Source organism: Homo sapiens, chromosome 8 (assembly GCF_000001405.40).
Source record: "Homo sapiens chromosome 8, GRCh38.p14 Primary Assembly".
Taxonomy (NCBI): Eukaryota; Metazoa; Chordata; class Mammalia; order Primates; family Hominidae; genus Homo; species Homo sapiens.
The window spans coordinates 19,434,845-19,454,563 of record NC_000008.11 but is presented as its reverse complement, the minus strand read 5'-3'; the positions used below and the strand labels follow the sequence as shown (position 1 = coordinate 19,454,563).

At 42.7% G+C, this 19,719-nt stretch overlaps 1 protein-coding gene across 61 annotated transcripts in view; it reads left to right on the top strand.

Moving 5' to 3' along the window:
* Nucleotides 1-19,719, top strand: part of CSGALNACT1 (chondroitin sulfate N-acetylgalactosaminyltransferase 1) — a 353,748-nt gene that overhangs the window by 303,345 nt on the left and 30,684 nt on the right. For all 61 annotated transcript variants that reach the window (NR_148898.2, NR_148897.2, NR_148900.2 and 58 more), the window contains one exon: nucleotides 14,633-14,734. Coding sequence is in view for 53 of the 61 variants with exons in the window: in NM_001354476.2 (NP_001341405.1) it covers nucleotides 14,633-14,734 (102 nt within the window). In the remaining 8 variants the exon portion in view is untranslated. The remainder of the gene's footprint in view (nucleotides 1-14,632; nucleotides 14,735-19,719) is intronic.

The following is a 19,719-nucleotide window of genomic DNA, read 5'->3' as shown; positions in this document are numbered from 1 at the left end:
GAGTAGCTGGGATTACAGGCATGTACCACCACACCTGGCTAATTTTTGTATTTTTAGTAGAGACTGGGTTTCACCACGTTGGTCAGGCTGGTCTCAAACTCCTGACGTCAAGTGATCTGACCACCTTGGCCTCCCAAAGTGCTGGGATTACAGGCGTCAGCCACGTGCCTGGCTGCAATCTGTTACTGTGACCTTGACAGGGTTACAACCTTTACATTCTACTTTATAACTACAGTTTCTGCAGTTCTGGATTTAAGTGGATTTAATGTATTCATCAGCAGTCCTCTTCCAATAGCTTTCCATTCCTGAGTTCTTAGTTGGCTATATTGTATGGTCAAGAAATTTTTTCAAGAAACGTCGCAAGTGTTTGAGAATGGAGTATATACTTGTTGTCATCGTGGACAGTCAGCTTAGCTGGGCTTAAAATTCATGGGACACACTGTCATTCCTCAGGACTTTGTAGATATTCTGGCATTAAATGATCTGGTGAAGTGTAAGACCACTTTACTTTGTCTCTCTCGTAAACGGCTTTTGCCAGAATGCCTGAAAAATTCCTTCATTAGTCTTTAATCACATTCACTTAATCAGGATATGTCTCATCTCAGCTTCTATTGTTTCCTCCCTCCCTCCCTCCCTACCTTCCTTCTTTCTCATGGAGGAGTATCACTCTGTCACCCAGGCTGGAGTGCAGTGGCACATTCTTGGCTCACTGCAACCTCTGCCTCCCAGGTTCAAGTGCTTCTCGTACCTCAGCCTCCCGAGTAGCTGGGACTACAGGTGCATGACACGACGCCCAGCTGCTTTTGGTACTTTTAGTAGAGATTGGGTTTCACCATGTTCGCCAGGCTGGTCTTGAACTCCTGACCTCAGGGGATCTGCCCACCTCAGCCTCCCAAAATGCTGGGATTATAAGTGTGAGCCACCACACCTGGCCAACGTCTGTTGTTCTTTAACTGATTTTCCTGTAGTACAGTTTCCTGTTTTGCTTTGTGGGTTCTTTCAGGGAAATTTTTGGATGCTTTATTTTTGAGTTCTGTTTGCTTCATTTATTGGATTCTCTGTTTCATGGACACAATTATATATTTTACAGGTCTTCTCCATTTATTAGCATCTCTGTTTTTTTAACACCCTTAGTCTTTTATCTGCTTTTACTTAAACCTTTATTGTGTCAGTAATTTGATTTTCTGACATATCTATTCTGTACCTTCCTATTTCTAATGCATTACTTCTGTGCATTTTGGCTGTTGATTTATTTTCCGAGCACACAGTGTGCCTGCTAATGTTATTCTGTTGTTTTATTGTTTTCTCTTTGGACTTTTTAAAAATTAAATTCATATTCTTGTTAATAAAGTGTGAAACATGTCTAAGAAATTTTCTTCTGTTTGAGTTACATTTTCTTTCAGACCCATTTTTTCTCTTGCTTTAGATGCTATTTCTTAACTTTTTCTTTTAATTTTATTCTGATTCTTGGGATGTGGTTGCTATGATTTCTTTTTTATCTTTTCTCATTACGTGCAGGGGACTACCCAGCCTTCTGTTTGCTCGAACATAGTTTGGGTGGATTCTCCTTGGCTCTCTCCTCATCTTGACTGAGAATTGTTGTGCATATTTTGAGGACAGGGTATTTCTCTGTTTAGTTTATTTGTAGTGTAAAAGCTGGGTGGAGGAGAGGAAGAACCCCCAGGGGCTTTGTGCAGCCTTTGTTGAAGTTCCCTTTTCTTGTGGCTCTTCTGAGCCCTGGGATGGATATGTGAGTTTTGCCCGGCTCGCTTGGTGTAGGGGGAATTAATTGTTTTCCCAAGGGGTAGAGGTATCATACTTGGCTCTCATAATGGCCTTCAAGTAAGGGTTGAGGCCTGGGACATCACAAAGAGTCAGTCCCACTTACTCACGTCTCCAGCTCACTTGCTCACTTGCTCATCTTCAGCAGCTCTTTCCACGCCTACCAGTCAGAGGAAAAAGGAAAGTTTTGGCTCTGTTTCTATCGCTTCTGTGGGATGTGGGGGAGATGCATATATGTCATCAGCTCTCAGCATGTCTCATCCCTTCTCCTCTAACTCTTCAGATAAAAGATCTTGACTAAATGTGATTAGCTTTTTTCCTTTGCTTATGTCAAATCTCCCCTTCCCTGCTTTTTTTTTTTTTCCCCCAGGGGTTAGTTCACAAGTAATTAGGATGGAATTACCTTCCCTCTCCACTTTCATTAAAATTTGTAGAAATACCAAAATAGCCTGCTGTGGCTCTTCCTGCTGCTGGTGCCAAGGTCCTAGGTGGAAGCCAAGGTCTCTTGTGTCTTCCCTAGGTCCCCCAGGCTGCCTTCTCTCACCTGAATCTGTGTCTCCTCTGTTTTCTCGCCAACGAGCTTCCCTTTTGGAGGCGGTCAGTGGGGCCAGGAGCCACAGGAAGCTAATGTAGAAACTTCCATTTCTTTCCTTGGTCTCCACTCTGTTGAAATTGACAGCAGAAGATTATGTCTCCCTCATTGGTCATTTATTGGTGGCAAAATTGTTGCCATTTTCAACTATTTTTGGCACACAGTTTGCAATGATTGCTATTTCAGATTAATGTATTTAAAGCATTATCCTTCCCATGCATCACCTTTAAAATATCAACACCCTTTGCTCTCATACAGTTGGTTGAGGAATCTTTTATGTGTTGCTTCATATATCTCAGCTTTAGTATCTTCTGTAAAAGGAAAATCTTGGTCCAGATGGGCCCTATCGCCTTGCAGTTCTATGCGGATTATTATCAGGGGCAGGTTTTTCCACATCAGCATCAATTTGTTAATTATTTACCTAGAAAAGACTTGCATGGCTTCAACTTACAATAAATATGTCTTCTTGGACAGAAGGAAGAGATGTGGAGCCTGGAATTCCCAAGAAAGAGCAGCCCTGGTCACAAGGCACAAAGCGGTCTTGGGGAAGGCTAGGTCTGCAGAAAACAGCTCACCCGGCGTACTGGCCAGGCACGGGTATATTCTGGAAGGAGGCAAAGGCCACGTCTTTGTGCTCTAGAACGGTGCTTGGGGTGATCCATGGGGACAAAATTTATTCCTGGGTGCACACAGTGTGTGCACTAAGTTATTTATTGTCATTATTATTTCTTCTCATTATAGTCATCTCACCTACTCTCAAAAAGTATTTGTGTTTTAAAAAATACAAGTTTAATAAAACGATTTTTATAAAGTTCAATGAACAAGGACTCAATAACAATATGGGAAGAGGGACAGGTCCACCTAGAAATTGGGACTAATAGAAAATTGGAACTTGTCAAAAACACTAGGTTTCAGGACATCCCAACAGGCAAGGAGAAAGGGGTAAAACAAAGGCCAGAGTCCTCCAGCTGTTCATATTTAATGAAGAGAAGTCTGTCATCTGTTGGGTGAGATGAGGTTTCTCCTAGCACCCAGACCCTAAGGGCCTTCATTTAAGAAGCATTGAACCACCAAATAAATGATATTCCTCAGATTTACAAGAAATCATGATGCTAAAGCTTGACACTAAAGCTTGAGTATTGTTATCTCTGAGTAAGAATAAAAGCCCCACTGCACCCCTTGATAGCAATAAAGACTGCTCTGTTCTTGGTGCTGTAGGGCTATGTATGTGCTGTGTGAGTCCTTTTTTTTTATTATTTTTTATTTTTTTTTGAAGACAGGGTCTCTAAAAAAGCTCAGTAGCCCAGTCTGGTGTGCAGTGGTGCCATCATGGCTCACTGCAGCCTCAAACTCCTGGGCTCCAGTGATCCTCCCCCCTCAGACTCCTGAGTAGCTGGGGCTACGGATGCATGCCACCACATCCAGCCAGATTTTTTGTAGAGACAAAGTCTTGCTCTGTTGCCCAGGCTGGTTTCAAACTCCTGACCTCAAGTGATCATCTGTAAAGATCACTTTACAGCCTGCCTCAGCCTCCCAAAGTGTTGGGATTACAGGCGTGAGCTACTGTACCTGCAAATGACTTCATTTTTGTTTGTGGAAATCAAATGCCTGGAACTGTGGCAGGCTCCTTCACTCCTGCTGTCATTGTCCTGGCTGATGTGGGACCCTCACAGGCTTCACGTGAAGTTTCTTCTCCCCCGGATGCCCCACCCGCCTCCCTTGGGTCTCTGCAGTCTCTACCTGTGGCTGGTAACAGAGGGAGCTCACCAGGGAAAGTTTGCTTTAAATGTAGCTCCTGCTGTTTTTCTGTTTCCTTTTTGTCCAGTCACATATTGGCTTAAACCTACTTACTCTTCCTCTTCCTCTCCTCCTCCTCCTCCTATTCCTCCTCCTCCTTCTCCTCCTCCCTCTCCTCCCCCCTCTCCTCCCCTGTTCCTCCCCCTCTTCCTCCCTGCCCCCTCCCCCTCCCTCTTCCTCCCGCTCTTTCTCCCCTCCCCCTCTCCCTCTTCCTCACTCTCCCCCTTCTCCCTCTCCTCCTCCTCCTTTTCCCCCTCCACCTCCTCCTCTTCTCCCTCCTCTTCCCCTTCCTCCTCCCCCTCCTCCTCCCCCTCCTCCCCCTCTTTCTTCTTTCTTCTTCCACCCCATTTTGCCCTTGAAACTATTCTCAAATTTGGTTTTCGGCTGCTTTGTTTCTTACCTTCCATATTCTAGATTTTAAGCCAGCCGGTTACTTCATTGTCTGTTTTGTTTGTGATAGCAGGAAGAACTTCATAATAACAAAGCTATAGATTTTCTTTGGTCTTTATCTCTGAGCCTCTCTGAGGGGAAAAAGGCAGAATTTTTATGGAAAATATTCTTCACTTTGCTTTAAAAAAAATCTTTCTCAATTCCAAGTTTACTTGATTTTTTTATTTTGACTGCTTCCAGCTAGACTGAGAACCCTTTTTCATGTTGCTATATTCCTCCTCAGACTTGACTGGTAATTTTTGTCTTAATGTTCTCTTTCTAACATTTATGATATTTTAATACAGTATCAAGGAAATCTTGTACTTGAATTTTCTATAGCAGTTCTCTTTTATTCATTTTTTTGGCCTAGAACCATTAAGGTGGTTCTGAAAATTTCAGGAAAATTATTTTAAAGCAGTAAGTGTAGAGTCTCGGAAATTGAAATGAGCCTGGAATGTTATAGTGAGGCTGGTATATATGACAGAAAGGCCTCAGGTCAGCAAATGTTGGATCATGATAGAGATTCCCAGTTTCTTTGTGTTCCCCAACAGGAAAATGATGTCTTTTGCATAGTCTAGTTCTCCTGCCATCCTTAAGCCCCTCTACCTCTCCCATAGGCCATTTCACTTTGTACAACAGAGCTGCAAGTTGGATGGCTAATGGGTTTGAGAGATGCTAATCTATATCATTCATGTATTTAGATAACGGTTTCTCTTTGAAGACTTAATAGAAGTTGGTTTTGATTTCACTTGAGCCAGGGGTTATGTATGAACATCCATCCAAGAGTAAAAAATGACCAAATGGAAAATGATCTCATTTTCTATTTTGAAATGGACAGTCAGGAAAATAGGTCCCAATTGCTTGATTGAGAGTCAAAATTCACTCATTTCTTAACACTGATCAGACTACTCAAATGATGGAATAGAATAATTATATATTAATAAATTTATCTCGACACAGGGGAGGGGAGATGACCCTCCAAACCAAAGGAAGAATACTGATTTTAAAGCCAGGTTTTACTTAGCCCCACTAACTCTGTTCCTTATTTCCAGTTCCTTTGTGCCAAGGAATTTCTTCTTGTAACCACAGAAGACTACAGATAGAGTTTGGGAACATCAGGTCTTTTACATGTCATTTCATTTGCATGGGACACTACTTAAAGCCTAAATAGGTATTCATCACATACCTGAACATTTGAGTAGCAAATTGACTCAGGAAAGAATGGTGATGTGATTTCCTTGCATCTGTGTCTTTCTCAGCTGTGAAAGCCCTGCCTCTGCCCTTGTTCATGTGCGGGGTGGCTACTCACCTATCAAGGCTCAGCCTGGATCCCCCTCCTCCTCAGTCCCCCTTTCCCTGGCACCCAGTGGAAATAACCGTGCTCTCCTCTCAGCCTTTTAGTTCATTTTACCTCTGTTACCGTGGTTATTCCATCCTGCATTATATTATGGCTCTTTAGTTGTCTGTTTCTTCCAAAAAACTATAAAGTTCCTGCAGTAGGGAGGGTGACCAGTTGTCCCAATTTGCTTGGGACTGAGAAATTTTCTCGGATATAGGATTTCCATTGCTAAAATCTGGAAAATCGCAGGAAAACCTGGTTGATTGGTTCTACTACAAAGACCATACATGGTCATCCTTTGTAACTCTTCCTACAATGAGGATAATTAATTGCACCCAAAGGTGCCCAGTAAGTGTTTATTATTGAATCCACGATTCCCTAGACCACATAATATGAGTTATAAAGAGAGGTATCCTTAACTGCAAGAAACACAATTTTTCCCACTCTCTCTCTCCCCTACTCTGGCAAGATCTCCAACCTTCTCTGGCCCTCTCAGTCTTTCTAGGTATCCTCAGTGATAACTCACACATGTGCAGATGTTAAGTTCAACCTCCACTGGCTGTACAAGCATCAGTTGTTTGAAGCAAACCCATGCTTCTGACAACAGCCAGAGGGGCTATCACTCCCTAATGGCATGAGGCTGCTGCTGCTACCGTACCCACCACCAGCATGTCTATCACACTAACACCATTACATTCCCCAAAAGTCCTGGCTTGAGCTCCCAGTATCCTCATAGTTTTGTTTGCTGTAAAGAAAGCCTCACGTTTTTTGTAGCTTTGTCTCTCTAGGACTCACAGGTGAGTCCACAAAAGCTGGTTGGAGAACAGGACCCACCCTAGGGGTGTGCATCACTTTGACAACCACACTCCCTCTCTGACAAGTCAGTTTTTATTACTGAGCTTGTTTCTCCGTCAAGACAGTGGTCGAGAACCAAGGCTATTTTGTACACCCACCTCCCCCTGCTCTGGGACATCTGGCAAGGTCTGGAGATCTGTTTGGTTGTCACATCTGGGATAGGTGGGTGCTCCAGGGATGCTGCCACACATCCTATTGTGTACATCACAGCACCTCCCACAATAGTTAGTGGGTCTAAACTGTTAGCAGTGCAGAGGTTGAAAAAGACTTCTTTAGGATGAGTTATCACCCTAAGGGTACAACCCCTCCTCAAATCAGGCCTCAGATCAGCCTGTCACCAGTCCATCATATCTGCCCATTCTATCTGTCTGGTTCCCATCAGAAACTCAGGTTGAACAGTCCTTCCCCACAGCCTATTTACGTTTGGAGTTTTCTTGTGGCTTTTCCCTTCCACCTGGCCATACCAGTCCCCCAGCTTTGTAGTGGGGTCCTAGACAGTGAGTTCAAAGCTGTCAGACTTAACAGATGCATTCCTCATGTGGCTCAGGTGACCTGGGGAGCTGACTACCAGGCAGGTGCTTAGGAAACCTGGCTTTTGTGCCTTGCTGCCTCCATAGCTCTGTCAGGTCATTGGAACTCCTTCCCTCACCTGTATGCTAAGGCTACGAACAACGGCCCTCCACAGGGCAGGCGTGCAGATTCATAACAGAACTCAAAGACCATGAAGGGCTTTTGGCTCTTGGGAAACAGAAATATAGGTGTCTAAGTGACTGTGATACATGTTTTGTGATAGGAAATACATCTTAATTAGCCTCTGTACTCTCCATACTCTCTTGTTACAATATGTGGGGGAAGAACTGGTTTATGGGTTTATGGGTTTATGGGTTTATTTTTGTTGTTGTTTTAAGAAAAAACATCCTAAAAAGAGTCTTTGTGGAATACAAACAGAATATTCAGGCCGGACATGGCGGCTCACACCTTTAATCCCAGCACTTTGGGAGGCCAAGGCGAGTGGCTCACCCGAGGTCAGGAGTTCGAGACCAGCCTGGCCAACATGGTGAAACCCTGTCTCCACTGAAAATACAAAAATTAGCTGGGCATGATGGCACACACCTGTGGTCCCAGCTGCTCGGGAAGTTAGGGTGGGAGGATCACTTGAACCTGGGAGGTTGATGCTTTGGTGAGCCAAGATGGCACCGTTGCCTGGGTGAGAGAGCGAGACTCTCTCTCAGTAACTGAATGAGTGAATGAATGAATGAATGAATGAATGAATTTTCAGGCTTCCAGGTTCAGGCAGAAGAATGACCCAGTGGGAATGGGGAGCTCGTGCACGGAGACTATGGGAAAATGATGAGCTCCCTGGAGGGATCTTAGGAAGTTGGAGTTTCCTGAGATTCATGGCAAAGGCTTCGTAGACAATTTTACCAAGGTGTTTATAGAGAAGTGCTATCAGAGGCAAGTAAGTCAGCCCAAGGGACCCAGGTACCATGTGTCCAGGTATGAATAACCGTGCAAAGCCCGGAGTTTGAATACGTAACGAATACCATTTTCCTCCTTTCTCATGCATTTTACTTACTTACTTACTTATTTATTTTGAGATGGAGTCTCGCTCTGTCGCCCAGGCTGGAGTGCACTGGCACCATCTCAGCTCACTGTAACCTCTAGCTCCCAGGTTCAAGTCATTCTCCTCCCTCGGCCTCCCAAATAGCTGCTATTACAGGCCTGTATCACCAGGCCTGACTAATTTTTGTATTTTTAATAGACATGGGGTTTCACCATGTTGGCCAGGGTGGTCTTGAACTCCTGACCTCAAGTGATCCTCCTGCCTCGGCCTCTCAAAGTGCTGAGATTATAGGCATGAGCCACCACGCCCAGCTTACTTTACTTTTTAAACTTTTGCCTCCAAACCAAAAACATATGGACACATTCACTCACATACACACTCTCACACACACACCTTTCCAGTGGATGGAGTTTACTCAGAATTATTTAGAGGAAAACAAAGATCATTCAGCCGGCCAGCCATGGTTTTTCATGGTATGAGACTCATATTCTTGTAAAGTACTTGTTAGTTATATTACAGATAGTTTCAGTTTTGCACAGTACATGGAGAACTCAAGGGCAGACATGTCTTACTCATTTCTTAAGATCCACTGGTAGAGTATCTGGTCCATGATATGTTGTCACCAAGTGTTTGTTGAATGAATGAAAGAGAAGAGTACACGAATGAATGCAACGGAACCTTGGAGGTAGACCTCACAACAAATTCTACTTTGCCTTTTTTAAGACGCCTCACCTAGTCACAGCATCTGTCTTATTGCTTAAAAACAGGAAGTTCTTTGAATGGATTTAAAAATACCAGAGAGGGAGACAGCAAAGATGTTATTAGAAAAATGAGAATGCTTTTTCTTCACACTTAGCAGGTGACCCTCTCCTGATTCTAGGATGGATTTTTCCCACTGCATGCACAAATTTCAAGCAATTTTTCTGGCACTTGGCCCTGTGTGTGTGCTTGTATTCTACCGTGGCAGAGGAAGTTAAGGCATTGTCTGGGAAGTTTGCAAAAGGGATCTTTTATGTACAGAGGATTTCATTGTTGATTGGTGATGATTCAGTCTGCAGGGACTGTGGCTAAGTGGGAGCTCCTGGTTTCAAAACATATCGTTACATCCTAGGCCTCTATTCCCTGTCCTTTGTCTGCTTTTAAATCTCTGCCATTGCTCTGGGTTCCTGAGGTGCTCTTTCTTCCACCAGAAAGAGACAGAATTCTCAGAATCAAACCTGTGACCAGAGTGAGCCCTGCATGCGTCTTGCCTGGGTCAGTATCATCTTCCCTATTTCTTCCATCTGGAATTCTCTTCTTTCTTACCTCTGCCTTTCTAAACTTTATCCCTCCTTCACTGACCCCAGCCATTCCACCCCACAGCATTTGCTGTACCTTCTCAATTCCCTGTTCTTTATATCAGTGCCATGAGATGTCTGATGGTTTTAATTGAGCTCATTTGATTTCCTAAGTAAGTGTTATGAGGGCAAGAACCGTGTCTTCTATTGCTGTGGATTTATCCCAGCAACCCCAGGAAGGCGGTCATTTCTTTTAGGTGTCATCATTAAAAGCATTGAACAAACTGGCCTCTGCATTTAGAGCTCAAGGATCTTTAGAAATTATGATGTGGATTATTGCTTGGGGGTTAGGGTAAGTAGCCAACACTGAGATAAAAGAAACCAAATGGAAGCACATGTAAAATATCAATATCACAAAATATCCTACCAGTAGAACCTTTCCATTAACTTGTTTCCAGAAACTCAGGTTAAAATTACACACATACACGTATGCAGTTGGCCCACTGTATCCAAGGGTACCACACCCTCCGATTCAAGCAATCAAGGACTGGAAATATTCCAAAAAACAAAACAGGAATGGCTGCGTCTGTACTGAATATGCACAAACTTTTTTTTCCTTGTCATTATTCCCTAGATGATACAGAACAAAAACACTTTACATAGCATTTACATTGCGTTGGGTGTTAAAAGTAATCTGGAAATGATTTAAAGTCTACAAGAGGATGTATGTAGGTTATATCCCAATATCACACCATGTTATAAGACAGGGGGCCCCAACTCCTGGTCCACACACCATTACTGGTCTGTGGCCTGTTAGGAACTAGGCCACACAGCAGGAGGTGAGTAGCTGGTAAGTGAGCATTACCACCTGAGTGCCACCTCTTGTCAGATCAGCTGTAGCATTAGATTCTTATAGGAGGGTGAACCTTATTGTGAACCGCAGATGTAAGGGATCTAGGTTGTGTGTTCCTTATGAGACTCTAATGCTTGATGATCTGAGATGGAACAGTTTCATGCTGAAACCATAAGCCCACCTCCACCCCCACCCCCAGTGTGGAAAAATTGTCTTCCATGAAACTGGTCCCTGATGCTGCAAAATTTGGGGGCTGCTGATATAAGGGCCATGAACATCTGGATTTTGGTATCCCCAGGGGGTTTCTGGAATCAGTCCCTCATGGATAGTAATATGGTTTAGCTATATCCCCACCCACATCTCAGCTTGAATTGTAATCTCCATGTGTCAAGGGCAGGGCCAGGTGGAGATCATTGAATCACGAGTGCAGTTTCTCTCATACTGTTCTTGTGGTAGTGAATAAGTCTCACAAGATCTGATGGTTTTATAAATGGGAATCCCCCTGCACAAGCTCTCTTGCCTGCCACCATGTAAGATGTGCCTTTGATCCTCCTTTGCCTTCTGCCATGATTGTGAGACCTCCCCATCCATGTGGAACTGTGAGTCCATTAAACCTCTTTCCTTTATAAATGACCCAGTCTTGGGTATGTCTTTATTAGCAGCATGAGAATAGACTAATACAGATACTGAGGGGAAACTGTACACATGTGTACATAATATATGCATATATGTGTACATAAACAGTGATTTACGCACTTGCATATATTTACATATCTACACATACATACATTTACATGCACATATATTCACATTTACACATACACACCTGCGTTTACATACATACACATATACATAAATGAACTAAACCGTCAGCAGAGGACCTTCCCAGGTTAGCCACTGCTTTCTCTTGAGAGGACAGGACATGGGCAAAACACAAATAGCTGATGTGGGAAAGCAGGTCAGGACCAGGCCAGAGCTAGAGGTCTGGCCCCAGGAGGGTGCAGCCGAATGGTGGTTTTGTCAGAAAGCTGGAGCATGAGGTGCTCGGTGCCTGGGATCGTTAGAGTCACGGAGAGGAGAAATGGGGACATGGTGAAGGTGATGATATCTGCTTGGGAAGGGTGAACTTCAGTGACTGTTCTGCCTTGCCATTTCCTCAGATAGTCATAACATTGGGTGCTTCCAAGGCACTCTAGAGTCCTAAACAGGAGAATGACTGTTGACCTTTGCTCATTCAGTCTTTAAGACTCTGTGTTTGGCCCACATAAGAAAAGAGAGTCATGGGCAAGGATTCTAGTCTCATCCTCTCTGGACTTTAGCTTTCTCATCTTTCGTACTTCATAGTCTTTTTTTTTTTTTATACTTTAAGTTTTAGGGTACATGTGCACAATGTGCAGGTTTGTTACATATGTATACATGTGCCATGTTGGTGTGCTGCACCCACTAACTCGTCATTTACATTAGGCATATATCCTAATGCTATCCCTCCCCCCTCCCCCAACGCCACAACAGTCCCCAGAGTGTGATGTTCCCCTTCCTGTGTCCGTGTGTTCTCATTGTTCAATTCCCACCTATGAGTGAGAACATGCAGTGTTTGGTTTTTTGTCCTTATGATAGTTTGCTGAGAATGATGGTTTCCAGTTTCATCCATGTCCCTACAAAGGACATGAGCTCTTCATTTTTTTATGGCTGCATAGTATTCCATGGTGTATATGTGCCACATTTTCTTAATCCACTCTGTCATTGTTGGACATTTGGGTTGGTTCCAAGTCTTTGCTATTGTGAATAGTGCCGCAATAAACATACATGTGCATGTGTCTTTATAGCAGCATGATTTATAGTCCTTTGGGTATATATCCAGTAATGGGATGGCTGGGTCAAACGGTATTTCTAGTTCTAGATCCCTGAGGAATCGCCACACTGACTTCCACAATGGTTGAACTAGTTTACATTCCCACCAACAGTGTAAAAAGTGTTCCTATTTCTCCACATCCTCTCCAGCACCTGTTGTTTCCTGACTTTTTAATGATCACCATTCTAACTGGTGTGAGATGGTATCTCATTGTGGTTTTGATTTGCATTTCTCTGATTGCCAGGGATGATGATCATTTTTTCATGTGTTTTTGGCTGCATAAATGTCTTCTTTTGAGAAGTGTCTGTTCATATCCTTCGCCCACTTTTTGATGGGGTTGTTTGTTTTTTCTTGTAAATTTGTTGGAGTTCATTGTAGATTCTGGATATTAGCCCTTTGTCAGATGAGTAGGTTGCAAAAATTTTCTCCCATTCTGTAGGTTGCCTGTTCACTCTGATGGTAGTTTCTTTTGCTGTGCAGAAGCTCTTTAGTTTAATTAGATCCCATTTGTCAATTTTGGCTTTTGTTGCCATTGCTTTTGGTGTTTTAGACATGAAGTCCTTGCCCATGCCTATGTCCTGAATCGTATTGTCTAGGTTTTCTTCTAGGGTTTTTATGGTTTTAGGTCTAACATGTAAGTCTTTAATCCATCTTGAATTCATTTTTGTATAAGGTGTAAGGAAGGGATCCAGTTTCAGCTTTCTACATATGGCTAGCCAGTTTTCCCAGCACCATTTATTAAGTAGGGAATCCTTTCCCCATTTCTTGTTTTTGTCAGGTTTGTCAAAGATCAGATGGTTGTAGATATGCTGCATTATTTCTGAGGGCTCTGTTCTGTTCCATTGATCTATATCTCTGTTTTGGTACCACTACCATGCTGTTTTGGTGACTGTAGCCTTGTGGTATAGTTTGAAGTCAGGTAGTGTGATGCCTCCGGCTTTGATCTTTTGGCTTAGGATTGACTTGGCGATGCAGGCTCTTTTTTGGTTCCATATGAACTTTAGAGTAGTTTTTTCCAATTCTGTGAAGAAAGTCATTGGTAGCTTGATGGGGATGGCATTGAATCTACAAATTACCTTGGGCAGTATGACCATTTTCACGATATTGATTCTTCCTACCCATGAGCATGGAATGTTCTTCCATTTGGTTGTATCCTCTTTTATTTCATTGAGCAGTGGTTTGTAGTTCTCCTTGAAGAGGTCCTTCATATTCCTTGTAAGTTGGATTCCTAGGTATTTTATTCTCTTTGAAGCAATTGTGACTGGGAGTTCACTCATGATTGGGCTCTCTGTTTGTCTGTTATTGGTGTATAAGAATGCTTGTGATTTTTGTACATTGATTTTATATCCTGAGACTTTGCTGAAGTTGCTTATCAGCTTAGGGAGATTTTGGGCTGAGACAATGGGGTTTTCTAGATATACAATCATGTCATCTGCAAACAGGGACAATTTGACTTCCTCTTTTCCTAATTGAATGCCCTTTATTTCCTTCTCCTGCCTAATTGCCCTGGCCAGAACTTCCAACACTATGTTGAATAGGAGTGGTGAGAGAGGGCATCCCTGTCTTGTGCCAGTTTTCAAAGGGAATGCTTCCAGTTTTTGCCCATTCAATATGATATTGGCTGTGTGTTTGTCATAGATAGCTCTTATTATTTTGAAATACGTCCCATCAATACCTAATTTATTGAGAGTTTTTAGCATGAAGGGTTGTTGAATTTTGTCAAAGGCCTTTTCTGCATCTATTGAGATAATCATGTGGTTTTTGTCTTTGGTTCTGTTTATATGCTGGATTACATTTATTGATTTGCATATATTGAACCAGCCTTGCATCCCAGGGATGAAGCCCACTTGATCATGGTGGATAAGCTTTTTGATGTGCTGCTGAATTCGGTTTGCCAGTATTTTATTGAGGATTTTTGCATCAATGTTCATCAAGGATATTGGTCTAAAATAGTCTTTTTATGGGGTAAGAACCAGGGACCCCAAGGACCCAATTCCATGACACTGTCTAGGCCCGGTGGGCTAGGACTGTGGCAGATTGGACCTGAGGTGCCTTGCATCAGAGTTTTGATTTACTGCATGTTTAAATTTCCTTGTTGTCCCGATAAGATGAATACAAATACAGATAGTTGGAATGGCCAACCAGAAAGGTTCTGGATTCCCATCTCGGCTCTCCTGGAAGTTTACCTAGTTTCCTTCAAGACCCTTTTGCACTTTACAAAAAGGTATTGGTTTGTGCTGTGCCTGTCAGTGTGAAAACAGGTGCCAGACATGCATGTGTTTTGTTTTCCAGGGAGATGTGCATTGAGCAGGATGGGAGAGTCCATCTCACTGTTGTTTACTTTGGGAAAGAAGAAATAAATGAAGTCAAAGGAATACTTGAAAACACTTCCAAGTGAGTACAATACGGAGCTGTCATAAGGAATCCTGGTAACTGAGCTCAGAAGCACACATCCAAGGCTGAAACTTCTGCTTAATTTTATTTTCCTTTACACTGTGGGTGAACTGGGATGGATTGATTGCTGGCTGTGTTCAGGGAAAAGTCTGCACTCCTCTTCCGCAGGAGACTACCCTGTCTGACACTGGTTTTCAATGTGCATGGGTGATGACTTTGACATTGGAGATAAACTGCGCACAGCAGGGGTGAGGGGAGTGTGAGCTCCTTTGAGCTTCCATATAACTGGGTGTCATCATTTTTAGCACTATAGATGTGGGGACTTCTTTATGTTGCAGAGTAGGAATTAGGGAGAGCACAGCTGGGCAGTGAGCTCCGTCTCAGCCACAGCTTCAGAGCCTAAGAGTGAAGTCTATGCTCAGATCTCATCCACTTAGCAAACAGTCTCACCCTTTGGGCTTTCATTCGTTAAGTATTTTAAGACATTCAGGGGAAACCAGACGTGGTGGCCAAGGCAGGATCCTTGATCAAACTTACTCAGTTGAGTACAAATTATTTAACCAAAAACTTGAGACCTCCAGTTGTACATTTATACCTAGTTGATCAATTGCATGGGGAATAAATGTATTCAAAAGCAGCATAGATGGATTTTTTTCCCTATAAAAATAAATGAATAAGTAATCCCCATGGCATCTTCTACCAGTATGTAAGCCAGAATGGCGCTGCACGCTGGCCTGTAGTTTGCCCTGGAGGTTTGCAGGGGGGCAATTTGAGTAATCAGGTGGGTGGTTTCTGTGCAAGTGAAGGTTTGAGTATGGCCAGTGGTACTCAGGGGCAGACATAGTCTGAGTAGATCCATATCATTTAGATATAAACAGTGTCCTCTGTTTTGAGTTTCTGGTAAATGGTAATAGGATGATAGTCGAAGGGTAAGATTCTAAGACTGAGTGTACTTTTTATTTTTATGCTTTGTTACTAGTTTTGTATTAATGGGCCCAAGATCTGAATGCTAGTTATAATTATTCAAGCATTCTTAAGCAGGAGATCAGCAAACTACAGCCCACTGGCCAAATTTTGTCTTGCACCTGTCTTTGTAAATAAAGTTTTACTGGAATGCAGGCATGCCCGTTTGTTTACATATTATTTGTGGCTGCCTTTGTCTACAGCTGTGCAGCTGAGTAGTCACCACAAAGACTGTGTGACTCACAAAGCCTAAACTGTTTACTGTCTGGCTCTTTACAGACAAATTGTGCCCATCCCTGCTCTAAAGCAATAATGAGTGCTTAAGAGTTTAAAACCAGCAACAACTTAAAGCTATGGCCTGTGTCTAAGATCAAATAGAATAAAATAATCGAATATCCTAAATGCAGGTGACATAGAAATTCCTCGACTCCAGTACATTACAAATGTTCTCACCTCTGCTTAGAAACGAAGAACATGAATGATATAAATTCATGTCCTCTGCCCAGTGGGTAGGTTTTAACGTCTCTGTCAATGTCAATTCCTAGATAGGGGTTCTTTAAAGTTTCCCGGATGATTCTAAAGTGAAGCCACAATTGAGAACAATTGTATCAGAAGGTGGTAGTCCACCTGGGGGCTGCTCCCTTAAGTGCAGCCAGCTGGCTGCCCCCCGACCCCCGCCCCGGCCAAGAGATTTTAAGCAGCTCCCCAGGTGACTCTGAAGTACAGCTGGGCTTCACAGCCTCCTTCCTATGGGTATGGCAGATTTCCAGCACATCAAAGAATGACCAGGCATTTGCTGACGGTTACACGTAACCACATTTAAATGAGTCCCATGGATAAGTAGAAGGACAGTTTAGACCCCTTGTAGTGACTGGAATGCTTAAGGCTATACCTTTATCAATACATTCTTCTCCATATCAAATTACCTGGCAAGGTGAATTCTCAACCAGAAGGTAGCTTGCTGAGGAAAGAATGCATAGAATCTGATTAAGAAAAGTAAAATCATTTGAGTGGTAGAGATGGTTTGCCTCAAACTTTGGCAAACATCTAGTCATCAATCTACCCAATTCACTTCATGCTAGAGACCAGGTTGGTTGGTGTTTAAAGTAACGCTATGTAAACTTTGGCAAAATTAACCCGAACTTCTTAAATTGTGTATGTATATACCTATACCTGGTATATGTATTAGTTGTATATGTATATACCTATACCTATACCTGGTTGACTAGTTGCATAGGGAATAAAATAAATAATTTTTTGGTGTTGATCTCCTCATTCTGTTAACCAGTGATATCTGTAGTGTTGATGTCACTGATGCTTTGGGCCATGTCCTGCCCTCTCTTATGGTGTTGCTGGTCAGGCCACCTCTCCTAGGAATGCCCAGACCTCTGCAGCCAGCCTGAGTTGACTTCACAGTACCATACCACACTCTACCTTCCAGATCAATCTTCCTACCTCCCTCACTGCCTTAGCCTGGTCCCCAGATGGGCTGTTGCTTCTAATCCTGTCTTTACGACTCACTGCTCCCTAGCCAAACTGGGAGCAGAATTTGATCTTTGTCTGCACTCCCATTATTCTCTTCTTTTGGGAGTTCCTTCCACCCTCCTTTTTGTTAATTCAAACCTCAACCCCCATCACTCCCCACCTAAGTTCCCACCTCTGGAGCTCTTTCTGACTTCCAGTCCTTTTCTCTGAATTCCAACTATACTCACTTTCTGCACCTCTAAATCTGGCACTTGGTGCGCGATTTGATGATTTACATTTCTTCCTGTTGTCCTAAGTCTGCAACTAGATTATAACCTGCTCAATAAGTGGTACTGTGTCTCATGACTCCTTAATTCCAGCACTTAGCACAACACCATACGGAGAAAATGTTCAAGGTTTCTTCATCAAGAGAAAAATAATGCCAGGTATATAGTAAATTTGTGCACATAGTAATGTGTTTTGTATATTTTTGAGACAAGGTCTTGCTCTGTCGCCCAGACTAGAGTGCAGTGGTGTGATCATACCTCACTGCACCCTCCAACTCCTGGGCTCACATGGTCTTCCCAACTTAGCCTCCTTAGTAGCTGGGACTACAAGCATGTGCCACCATGCCCGGCTAATTTTTATATATAGTTTTTGTAGAGCCAGTGTCTCCCTATGTTTCCCAGGCTGGTTTCAAACCCCTGGCCTTGAGCAATCCTCTTGCCTCATCCTCCCAAAGTTCTGGGATTATGGGTGTGATCCTCTACACCCAGCCTCCCATAGTAATCTATATATGAGCTTATACATGAAACTTTATTTAAACATTTTTAAATTATTTTTAAGGTGATAAAGCTTTTGTTCAGAGGTATCTTATTTCTGAATAATGTAACTTGCATAAATTATAGTATTTAATATTCATTACCTGATGAGATAGACACTGTTTTGGGCTCTACTTCACATGTAAAGACACTGAGGCTTAATGAGGTCGTTACTCAGGCTGTGATCCCTGCCAGATGGGAGAGCCAGAATCAGAGCCTCCTGTTAAGGTCTAGACTCACAGTGTTAGCATACCACCACCTGTTCACTCTAATATGCTCGCTCCTAAAACCCATAGTTGTTAGTTGAAAGTAGTAAGATTTATAGTCACACTAAATGAAATTTATGTTATTTGGAAATCAGTATTGTGATTAAGCTGTTTTAAATCCAGCTAAATGCATGTACTTTAATATCTTTTTAAAAATCTTGTTTAGTGACCAGTATGCAATATTTCACACTCTCTCTCCCTAGTTTATTCTTAGTCAGTTGAGCTTTACATTTCAGTTGATTGCTATAGATCAGTGTTCTGCAAACACCAGTTTGTGATTTATTAGAGGGTTGTGAAATCGATTTTGTGGCTTATGTCCAATTTTTAAAAAGTGAAGTAGGATAGGATAGAAAATATCAGAGTGAAGCACAAGTAGTAAGGATAAATATTCTTTCATGAAAGTTTAATTTCAATGTGTGTGCGTGTGTGTGTGTGTGCTGCATAAGGATGCGTAATATATTCCTTTATAAGGATCATGGTCAAAATGTTTAAAAGCTACTAACATAGACAGAAATACAAATCGATTCTCAATATCTGATTCTTATTCTGTAGATTTTTCCAAGCTTCAGTTAATCTCAGATGAGCTCACTGGTTCTTCATTATTAACATGCTTTGGAATAACCTGTGGTGCTTTTAAAAATGCAGACTCCTGGGACCCAGGCCCAGAAATCCTGAATCAGTGGGCCTGAGATGAAGCCTGGGAACCATCACTGAACTAGTTCCACATGTGTTGCTGATGTGGGTGGTTCATGGACCATACTGTGAGAAATGCTGCTTTAGATACTCGCTTGGAGCTATGTAATAGGAATTTTTTTTTTTTTTTTGATTCAGAGTCTCACTTTTTTACCAGGCTGGAGTGCAGTGGCACAGTCTCGGCTCCCTGCAACCTCCACCTCTTGGGTTCAAGCAATTCTCCTGCCTCAGCCTCCCAGGTAGCTAGGACTATAGGCGCACGCCACCACACCCAGCGAATTCTTGTATTTTTAGAAGAGATGGGGTTTCACCAAGTTGGCCAGGATGGTCTCGATCTCTTGACCTTGTGATCCGCCCACCTCGGCCTCCCAAAGTCCTGGGATTACAGGCGTGAGCAACCGCGCCTGGCCAAAAAGTTATTTTAATGTAACTGATAGATGAATTGGCATTGACCACATTGTAAGTTGACATTTACTACATTACAAGTTCATCTTTGCCCAGGAGCAAGGACATGAAAGCATCCTTCAGAGGAATCATCTCTGAGATTGAGATGCTAGAAATGAGACACTGCCCTGCCAGAGTGTATGTGATGCTAGGAGAGGGTTGTTGTCGTTATCAGGGACCCACCTTGCAATGTTTGTGTCAGCATTTCACACCTCTTTCAAATGATTTGACAGATACCCCCAGGAAGATTATTTTCTGGGGGAAATGGTTTGTTCCAGGCTTTTTGTTTGTCCATTTTCAGAAATTTGAGCAGCATTGTTGATTTGCTTTTTTT